Raw genomic sequence first — 10,698 nt, forward strand, 5'->3', positions numbered from 1 at the left:
ATGTGTAATTGTTACGCTCTCGAAGAGCACGTGGAACTGTGGGTTATATTTCACCATGTATATATATGGTATATATATGTATATATATGTATATATATGTATATTTCACCATATATATGTATGTATATATATTTCACCATATATATGTATATGGGAACCATGTATATACATATGTATATGTGTGCGTGTGTGTATATATATATATATATATATATATATATACACACACGCACACATACATACATACAGTTCTCATATTGGATAGTTCTAACACTTTTCTTTCTTTCTTTCTTTTTTTTTTTTTTGAGGTGGAGTCTCGCTCTGTCACCCAAGCTGGATCTCGGCTCACTGGAAGCTCCGCCTCCCAGGTTCGCGCCATTCTCCTGCCTCAGCCTCCTGAGTAGCTGGGACTACAAGTGCCCGCCACCACGCCTGGCTAATTTTTTGTATTTTTTAGTAGAGACGGGGTTTCACTGTGTTAGCTAGGATGGTGTCGATCTCCTGACCTCGTGATCCGCCCTCCTCGGCCTCCCAAAGTGCTGGGATTAGAGGCGTTAGCCACCGCGCCCGGCCCAGATAGTTCTAACACATTTCTGAGAGTTACAACAATTTTTTTGTTTGTTTGGTTTTTGTTTTTGTTTCGTTTTGTTTTGTTGTTTTTTTCTTTTTGAGACAGAATCTTGCTCTGTCACCCAGGCTGGAGTGCAGTGGCGCAATCTCGGCTCACTGCAACCTCTGCCTCCTGGGTTCAAGCAATTCTTCTGCTTCAGCCTCCTGAGTAGCTGGGATTACATGCATGCACCACCGCGCCCAACTAATTTTTGTTTTTTGGTTTTTTTTTTTATTTGAGACGGAGTCTCGCTCTGTTGCCCAGGCTGGAGTGCAGTGGCGTGATCTCGGCTCACTGAAACCTCTGCCTCCCGGGTTCAAGCAATTCTCCTGCCTCAGCCTCCTGAGTAGCTGGGATTACAGGCGCCCACCACCACGCCCAGCTAATTTTTAGTAGAGACAGGGTTTCAACATGTTGTTCAGGCTGGTCTCAAACCCCTGACCTCGTGATCCACCCACCTCAGCCTCCCAAAGTGCTGGGATTACAGGCATGAGCCACCGCGCCTGGCCAATTTTTGTATTTTTAGTAGAGATGGGGTTTCGCCATATTAGCCAGACTGGTCTCAAACTCCTGACCTCAGGTGATCCGCCTGCCTTGGCCTCCCAAAGTGCTAGGATTACAGGCGTGAGCCACCCGCACCTGTATTGTTGAAAAACAACAGCTTTTCAACTCCCTCTAGGAATCAGTGGGGAAGGTGTACCTGTTCCCCTCAGGCACCTCCCACAGAGCCTCCCCACACCCTTGTTGTGCAATGAGCTTCATTAGCCTCATACCTCATCTTCCTCTCTTGTCCTCTAACCCTATCTTCCTTCACTGCTGCCTGAGTGTATCTTCCTAGAACCTTTCTATGATTTTTCGTCATCTCAGTAGGATAGGCAAGGTTCTTCATGCTTTTACTCTGGCCTCTCCCCACCAGGCACACTGAATTATGACTCCTCTCTGTGGAACACGTTCTTTCTCACTTCCCTGTGCCGGGCAGCACCTGAGTCCTCCTGGTGAATTCCAGCTCATCTGTTAAGGATTAGCTCCACTGTCTCCTCCTTCATGCTGCCTTTGTTACTTCCTTCAGGCCCCAAGCACCCCTTTCTCCCTGAACAAGGACACAGGCCCTAGCACACCCCTCCCCTGGAGCACCTGCTACCTGCATTGTCACAGTCTACCCAGGGGTTGCACCCACCGTTCAGTGAGCTCCTGGATGACAAGCCCTAGACTTTTTGATCTTTATGTTCCCCGCACTGCCAGGAACAAAAATAGACTCAACAAATGCTTGTTGAATGAATAAGTAAAAGAATGAAGAGTTCATGGCCACGTGCAGTGGCTCACGCCTGTAATCCCAGCACTTTGGGAGGGTGAGGCAGGCAGATCACAAGGTCAGGAATTCAAGACAAGCCTGGCCAACATGGTGAAGCCCCGTCTCTACTAAAAATAATTTTAAAAAAAATTAGGCGGGCATGGTGTCACAACCCTGTAATCCCAGCTACTTGGCAGGCTGAGGCAGGAGAATTGCTTGAATTCAGGAGGTGGAGGTTGCAGTGAGCTGAGATCGAGCCACTGCACTCCAGCCTGGGCAACAGAGCAAGACTCCATCTCAGAAAAAAGAAAAGAAAAGAAAAGTTCTAAGAATGTTTTAGCAAGAATAGCATCAGAACAATAAACATACAGTTTCCCAAAGTAATTAAGAATAAAATTAATTATTCTGACAGTATCAACTATGTTTTTGCTCATAGTAAACACAAAATAAAATTGAAGAAACTGAAAAAATATATTCATGTTGTGTAGGAAAGAAGAAAAAAAGAAACTGAAAAAAATTAATTATTCTGATACACATATTTTTAAAAATAGTGTCATATTATATTTACATTGGATGTCACAGGGGAAAAGTCATGGGTTAAAAACATAAAGGTTTCAGGCTGGGCACGGTGGCTCACGCCTGTAATTCCAGCATTTTGGGAGGCCAAGGTGGGCAGATCATTTGAGATCAGGAGTTCGAGACCAGCCTGGCTGACACAGTGAAACCCCATCTCTACTAAAAATTTAAAAATTGGCCTGGTGTCGTGGCAGGCACCTATAATCTTAGCTATTCAGGAGGCTGAGGCAGAGTCTCACTCGGCTGAATCACTTGAACCCAGAGGACAGAGACTGCAGTGAGCCTAGATTGTGCCATTGCACTCCAGCCTGGGCAACAGAGCAAGACTCCATCTCAAAAAAAAAAAAAAAAGAAAGGAATGGTAATCAACTTACATTGCTTAGTTCACCCATAATGTAATCACTTGATATCAATTTTTAAAAGAAAGCCTCTACTGCCAGGCGTGGTGGCTCACACCTGTAATCCCAGCACTTTGGGAGGGTGAGGTGAGTGGATCCCTTGAGGTCAGGAGTTCGAGACCAGCCTGGCCAACATGGCAAAACCCTGCCTCTACTAAAAATACAAAATTTGCTGGGTGTGGGGGCACACGACTGTAATCCTAGCTACTTGGGAGGCTGAGGCAGGAAAATCACTTGAACCCGAGAGGCAAAGATTGCAGTGAGCCGAGATCACACCATTGCACTCCAGTCTGGGCAACAAGAGCAAAACTCTGTCTCAAAAAAAAAAAAAAAAGAAAGCCTGTACTATAGTCATATTGAAGGCAGGGTAGAGAAGAGTTCTAGGTTTCTTTCTGACCATAATATAAAGTAAATGTAATTAACTAAAGTAATATGAATCAAGAATCCATAATATAAACATATTATTATTTAGACAGAGAAAGTGAATACCAGAAAAAAAAGTGAATTGGAAGTAGATACCTCTGAGCAACAGGATCATGTCTACGGGAGGGAAATGCTGTTTTTGTTGCTTTTTAGTACTATTTTATGTTTATAACTGTTTACATGTTAAAAATTTACAGGCGGGCACAGTGGCTCACACCTGTAATCCCAGCACTTTGGGAGGCCAAGGCAGACAGATCACGAGGTCAGGAGATCGAGACCATCCTGGCTAGCATGGTGAAACCCCGTCTCTACTAAAAATACAAAAAATTAGCCGGGCGTGGTGGCAGGCGCCTGTAGTCCCAGCTACTCGGGAGGCTGAGGCAGGAGAATGGCGTGAACCTGGGAGGTGGAGCTTGCAGTGAGCCAAGATCACGCCACTGCACTCCAGCCTGGGCGACAGAGCACAGCGAGACTGCGTCTCAAAAAAAAAAAAAGTGTGGCCCCAAGACAAATATTCTTCAAATGTGGTCTAGGGAAGCTAAAAGATTGGACACACATGGAATAGTGTAGGAATACACATACCATAGTAATCTATGTGTGGATCGAGGGAAGCAAAAGAACACAAAGGCTGTTAAAGGAAAAAGTGAGGATTACATAATTGTTTTAAGATAATTATCCTTGCCTACAAAGACCAATAACAAGGGTGATACCACTTCAAGGTTGAACAGGCAGTTGCTGGGCAGATGTCCTTGCAGAAGTATTTTGTGTGTAAGGTTGTGATGGCCTTTGTGCAACATTGTGGTTTTTGCAGTCTTTTTTTTTTTTTTTTTTTTTTTGAGACGGAGTCTCACTCTGACACCCAGGCTGGAGTGCAGTGGCGTGATCTTGGCTCACTGCAACCTCCACCCCCTGAGTTCAAGCAATTCTCCTGCCTCAGCCTCCGGAGTAGCTGGGATTACAGCTGCCTGCCACTGCACCCGGCTAATTTTTTTATTTTTAGTAGAGATGAGCTTTCACCATCTTGGCCAGGCTGGTCTTGAATTCCTGACCTTGTGATCCACCCGCCTCAGTCTCCCAAAGTGTTGGGATTACAGGTGTGAGCCACCGCGCCCGGACTTTTGCAGTCTTCTGTGATAGATTTTGTTATTAGGCGTAGGAACATGAGAATTTCTCTTCCTGGCCTTCCCCAGCTCTGTTTGTCAGAGGTTTTGTTTTTGTTTTAATATTAGTGAGTCCATTTTTTTTTTTTGTTTTTTGTTTTGTTTTGTTTTTGAGACAGGGTCTCACTCTGTCATCCAGGCTGTAGTGCAGTGGCACGATCTCAGCTCACTGCAACCTCTGCCTTCCGGGTTCAAGTGATTCTCCTGCTTCAGCCTCCTGCGTTGCTGGGATTATAGGTGCCCACCAACACGCCCAGCTAATTTTTTTCTTTTTTTTTTTTTTGTATTTTTAGTAGAGACAGGGTTTCACCATACTGGTCAGGCTAGTCTCAAACTCCTGACCTCAAGTGATCCGCCCGCCTTGGCCTCCCAAAGTGCTAGGATTACAGGCATGAGCCACTGCACCCAGTCAATATTAGCAGCTCCATTTTGATTCTGACAACTTTCACATATTCAAAACACAGTGGAGCCAGGCACTGTGGCTAATGCCTGTAATCTCAGCACTTTGGGAAGCCAAAGCAGGAAGATTGCTTGAGCCCAGGAGTTTGAGACTAGCCTGGGCAACATGACGAAACACAGTATGTACAAAAAAAAAAAAAAAAAATTAGCCAGGTGTGGTGGTACACGTCTGTAGTCCCAGCTACCCAGGAGGCTGAAGCAAGAGGATTCCGTGAGCCAGGGAATTTGAGGTGGCAGTGAGCTCTGACTGTACCATTGCTCCCCAGCCTGGGCAACAAAACAAGACCCCGTCTCAAAAAAACAAAAACAAAACACACTGGGGAAGGCACATTTCACGCAAGTCTGTGTCATCCGTGTAATGCTCTCTGGGAATCTCTACGAAGGCACATGATATATTTTGACAGACTGTGATCCTCCCTAGGAATTATTTATCACATGTCATATAGAGGAAAGCTGTCTTGCCCGGTGCAGTGGCTCATGCCTGTAATCCCAGCACTTTGGGAGGCTGAGGAGGGTGGGTCACCTGTGGTCAGGTGTTCCAGACCAGCCTGGCCAATGTGGCAAAACCCCGTCTCTACTAAAAATACAAAAATTAGCCAGGCGTGGTAATGCACACCTGTAATTCCAGTTACTTGGGAGGCTGAGACAGGAGAATCGCTGGAACCCAGGAGGCGGAAGTTGCAGTGAGCTGAGATCACACCAGTGTACTCCAGCCTGGGCGACAAAGCGAGACTTCATCTCAAAAAAAAAAAAAAAAAAAAAAAAGGAAAGCCATCTTGGCAGCCTTGTGTTGCAGAACTTTTCCTTAGTTCAGCTAAAGATGGGGTCCTTGTCCATCCCATGGCCAAGACAACTGAGGCTCGTAGATGGTCTGAAGGATGAGTAAAGCAGGGTTTTATTAGGTAAAAAAGAAGAAAAGGGGGAAGCAGGGACTAATAAGCAGGGACCACTATATTTTATTCAATAAAGTAATTCTGAACCAAAAGCTAAACACTTAAAAGCCAAAGTTGGCCAGGCACGGTGACTCATGCCTGTAATCCCAGTGCCTTGGGAGGCCGAGGCGGGCAGATCACCTGAGGTCAGGAGTTCAAGACCAGCCTGGCCAACATGGCGAAACCCCATCTCTTCTAAAAATACAAAAATTAGCCAGGTGTGGTGGCTAATGCCTGTAATCTCAGCTACTTGGGAGGCTGAGGCAGGAGAATCTCTTGAACCTGGGAGGCAGAGGTTGCAGTGAGCTGAGATCATGCCATTGCACTTCAGCCTGGGCGACAATAAGTGAAACTCCATCTCAAAAAAAAAAAAAGCCGAAGTTACTTTATAAAGCAGGTTACTCAGTAAAAGAAGAAAGATTACTCTGGCCCTAGTCCCTAAAGCCCTGCAAAACCTGGCATTTCTGCACATGCATGGGAACCCTGGGGAACTCCCACCTGTTTGGCAATTTACAGACCCAGGAACAGAGCCTAGCGCGTTGGCTCACGCCTGTAATCAGCAGTAGGAGGCCAAGGCAGGCCGATCACTTGAGGCCAGGAGTTGGAGACCAGCCTGGCCAACATGGAGAAAACCCGTCTCTACTAATAATACAAAAATTAGCCTGTGTGATGGCACGCACCTGTAACCCCAGCTACTCAGGAGGCTGAGGCAGGAGAATCACTTGAACCTGGGAGGCGGATGGTGCAGTGAGCCAAGATCAGGTGACTGCACTCCAGCCTGGACAACAGAGGGAAACTGTCTCAAAAACAAAACAAACAAACAAAAACACAAGAACAGGGGACAGGAAAAGCCACTTCGTTTGGGAGCCTTTAAAGTCATTAATGTTAGCTACTTCTACGTCAGCACAGAGGAATTACACACCAAGGTGGTCTAAGATGTTAAGAATTCATTTAAACATGAGATTACTTCTTTTGGATTCTGTAAGTGCTAATGTTGAGAAATTCATGACTATTGCTTACCTGTTTGCATTTTATTTAAGGATGTTCTGGAAGAGCATTATCACATTTTCCCATCAGAGCTTGTGCAAAGAGGAAGCATTAGTGCTTCCTCCATCACTAAAGGAGAGGCCTTGCTTTTGAAGGCGGGGCCAGAGATTCTGCAAGTAGCTCACAGCGTGGCTTAAGGCTCTGCGTGAAGGCTCAAGTTAGCCGATTTTGACACATATGCAAATGATTATTTGCTAATCAAGCAACAACCAGAGTCATTAGCGCCTTTACAGCCCTTGGGATTGTGAGGACAAGTTGGTCAGGAGACAGGTGGCGCTCACTACCCCCATCTTGGATCCGTTGAGAGTTGCAGATCAGTAAAAACTTGGGAGCAACCCCGATGACTCATCTCTGAGTTGTCTCAACAGTGTGTTCCGGGAACTGGTAGAACAAATGGAATCTTTCAAAGGCCCGGGTCGCAAGAAGCTCACAGCCCAGATACGTAAGCATTACGCACAATTCCATTACCCCTGCAAGGCAAGCAGCCCATGCCAGCAACAGAGGCCAACCAGCCACAGGCTTCACTCAGGCAGCTTTGGTTTCATCTACAGATCCTGCTTTATTGTAACATGAGCACTGATGAAAAATTGGTAGGACTGAGAAAGTTAAAACTCTGTGCTGCCCAGATTAGGATAACAGACACACATAAAGGCATCTACAAAATTAAGAAGAAAGCGTCTCTCCCAATGACACATTACAGCTGTAAAGTATTGTCTTCTTTGAATGACCACTGCTCTCTTACTGAAATCCTTTGTTCTTTGAAATCACAGAGTATCAGAAACTTTGCTGTATGAAATTCTATCAGTAAGAATGAAATATTCCACTCTTGGCCAGGTGACTCTAAGTCACCTTAATACAGAGAAGCAGCCTTAATTGACAACCCAAGTCTAAGGCTTCCGAATGGGGATCTGTGTACACAGCATTCCTCATCTAAACTTTGCAGTTTCCAAGGAAACAGCACTCTAAGGGCATTTTGCAGTTCAGGCCTGACATTGATTTTTTTACACAAGCCCTGTTTTGCTTTGAGTTGTCAAAACACTGCTTCATTGAAAGTTTATCTCCACCCTTCCCCCAAATCCTACATAAACTGTCCTTTGAGGGCAGGCGTGGTGGCTCATGCCTGTAATCCCAGCACTTTGGGAGGCTGAGGCAGGCGGATCACTTGAGGTCGGGAGTTCTAGACCAGCCTGGACCCGTCTCTACTAAAAATACAAAAATTAGCAAGGCGTGGTGGCAGGCGTCTGTTATCCCAGCTACTGGGAGGCTGAGGCAGGAGAATCATTTGAACCTGGGAAGCGGAGATTGGAGTGAGCCCAGATCATGCCACTGCACTCTAGCCTGGACAAGAGCAAAACTCCCTCTCAAAAAAAAATAAATAAATAAAATAAAACACACACACAGAAAAACAAACAAAAAACTGTCCTTTGGTCCTCTGGTGTACAGTCTACCTCATTGCAACGGGTTAATAAACCTGACTTTCTCAGATTCCAAGTCTGTGCCTGAATGGGCTAGGACTGCATCGCAATCTATGAGAACCCTGCTGGTCTCAAAAAGGCTACATAACAATCTGTTTAGTATAGTATTTGGGATATGACTATACAGGTGTTGCAGGGAAAAACATTTAGCAAATTTATGCCTGAGATTCAGTTTCTTAATAAATATAGTCATTTGTTAGCTTAAAACTTAATTCTGTCCTTGAATTATGATTATTAAAATGTGAAAATAGCATTTTAAGAGCCTTAAAGTCTGCTTTAAAAGAAAAGTAAGATATGGGACCAGGCATGGTGCCTCACACCTGTAATCCCAGCAGTTTGGGAAGCCCAGGTGGGAGGATTGCTTGAGCCCAGGAATTTGAGACCAGCCTGGGCAACATAGTGAACCCTTGTCTCTAAAAAAAAAAAAAAAATTGTTTTTTAATTAGCAAGGCATGGTGGGCACACCTATAGTCCCAGCTACTTGGGAAGCTGAGAGGGAGGATTGCTTGAGCCTGGGAGGTAGAGGCTGCAGTGAGCCATGACTGCACCACTGCACTCCAGCCTGCTCAACAGAGCAAGACTCTGTCTTGAAAATATATACACGGAAAATTTGCATTCAGAGAAAAAAAATTCTCAGAGTTTGGTCAAAGAAAGTTAGCCTCACAGGGCTGAATTCCTGGCCAATTCATACTAATCCTGTAAGACTTGGCTCAAACATTCTCTCTTCTTGAAAGCTGTCCCTAATCCTTCTCTTCTATACTCTGGTGGCACCTGCTGTTATATTTGTGCCATGGCACACGCCAACCACAATATTGGGGTTGTTGGTTTACCTGTTTTCCCTGTTCATCTCAACTCATTGAGAGCAGAGCCCCTGTCACTGATCTGTAAATTGCACCTGGCACACAGGAGGAACTCAATTCATGATGAATAGATGAAGCTGTGAATGGAGGGGAGGTTAGGAGCAAGAAAACCAGTTGGAAGATGGTTGTGATGGTCCACAAGGGATGAACATAACCTGGACACCGTGTTTGACTAGATGAAAAAGTAGATGAGTATGGAACATTATATTTTATTCTATTTTTATTATTTTTTGAGATGGAGTTTTGCTCTTGTTGCCCAGGCTGGAGTGCAGTGGCGTGATCTCAGCTCAATGCAACCTCCGCCTCCCGGGTTCAAGTGATTCTCCTGCCTCAGCCTCCTGAGTAGGTGGGATTAGAGGCGCCTGCCACCACGCCTGACTAATTTTTTTTTCTTTTTTTTTTTGAGCTAGAGTCTGACTCTGTCGCCCAGGCTGGAGTGAAGTGCAGCAGGCTGGTCTTGAACTCCTGACCACAGGTGATCCGCCCACCTCGGCCTCCCAAAGTGCTGGGATTACAGGCATGAGCCACTGCGTCTGGCCTAATTTTTGTATTTTTAGTAGAGACAGGGTTCCGCCATGCTGGCCAGGCTGGTCTTGAATTCCTGACATCAGGTGATCTGCCTGCCTTGGCCCCCCAAAGTGCTGGGATTACAGGTGTGAGCTACCGCGCCCAGCCTTGGAACATTTTAAAGGAAGAAGAGGCTGGGTGTGGTGGCTCACGCCTGTAATCCCAACTGGGAGGCCGAGGCTGGAGGATCACTTGAGGTCAAGAGTTCAAGATCAGCCTGGCCAATATGGTGAAGCCCTGTCTCCACTAAAAATACATAAATTACCCAGGAATGGTGGTGGATGCCTGTAATCCCAGCTAGTTGGGAGGCTGTTGCTAGAGAATCGCTTGAACCTAGGAGGCAGAGGTTGCAGTGAGCCAAGATCGCGCCACTGCACTCCAGCCTGGGCAACAGAGGGAAACTGTGTCTCAAAAATAGGTAAGTAAATAAATAAATAAAGGATTAAAGGAATAAATAAAATAAAGACTTGATGATTAAGTGAAAACAAGAAACAAAGAATAGAGAATCAAATAAATTTAAAATTTTTTAAACCTACACAGATAGGGAGTGGAAACTACAACTGGAATAGAGGAATCCTAAAGTAGCTAGTTCATGCATTTGAGATAAGATTTTGCGAGATCCTTGGAAAATCTATTATGCTTTTGGACATTCAAAATTAAAGTCAAGGCTCAAAATAGACTTGGGAGTCATTAACATTGAGGCTGAAACTTTTTTTAAAAAGTAGATGAACTCTCTGAAGAAGAGACTGTGTGTTGAGTACAAGGCTGAAACACTGAAACTTGGAAAATGCAAAGGTCTAAAGCAAAAAAGGAGGGAGGAAGAGGCAACAAAGATGAGTGTGTTCATGGAGAAACAGGGAAGTGCAACAACCCAGACACCAATGGAGAAGCGCTGCCTGC

General features: G+C 45.2%; 5 annotated features.

Annotated features, from left to right (window-relative positions):
- Positions 5,952-6,641: an enhancer, noted in NCBI's record as "H3K27ac hESC enhancer chr14:34964993-34965682 (GRCh37/hg19 assembly coordinates)". NCBI's record gives its function as "activates a minimal SCP1, AML or CMV promoter by ChIP-STARR-seq in primed H9 embryonic stem cells {active_cell/tissue: H9 hESC(primed)}" and the evidence as "EXISTENCE:reporter gene assay evidence [ECO:0000049][PMID:30033119]".
- Positions 6,642-7,330: an enhancer, noted in NCBI's record as "NANOG-H3K27ac hESC enhancer chr14:34965683-34966371 (GRCh37/hg19 assembly coordinates)". NCBI's record gives its function as "activates a minimal SCP1, AML or CMV promoter by ChIP-STARR-seq in primed H9 embryonic stem cells {active_cell/tissue: H9 hESC(primed)}" and the evidence as "EXISTENCE:reporter gene assay evidence [ECO:0000049][PMID:30033119]".
- Positions 6,642-7,900: a biological region, named in NCBI's record as "CDK7 strongly-dependent group 2 enhancer GRCh37_chr14:34965742-34966941".
- Positions 6,701-7,900: an enhancer, noted in NCBI's record as "CDK7 strongly-dependent group 2 enhancer chr14:34965742-34966941 (GRCh37/hg19 assembly coordinates)". NCBI's record gives its function as "activates an origin of replication core promoter dependent on BRD2, BRD4, P300/CBP, MED14 and CDK7 cofactors, with strong dependence on CDK7, by STARR-seq in HCT116 cells {active_cell/tissue: HCT116}" and the evidence as "EXISTENCE:reporter gene assay evidence [ECO:0000049][PMID:35650434]".
- Positions 9,134-9,233: a silencer, noted in NCBI's record as "silent region_5664". NCBI's record gives its function as "represses an Ori minimal core promoter by ATAC-STARR-seq in GM12878 lymphoblastoid cells {active_cell/tissue: GM12878}" and the evidence as "EXISTENCE:reporter gene assay evidence [ECO:0000049][PMID:35858748]".

This window comes from Homo sapiens, chromosome 14 (genome assembly GCF_000001405.40).
Source record: "Homo sapiens chromosome 14, GRCh38.p14 Primary Assembly".
Lineage (NCBI taxonomy): Eukaryota > Metazoa > Chordata > Mammalia > Primates > Hominidae > Homo > Homo sapiens.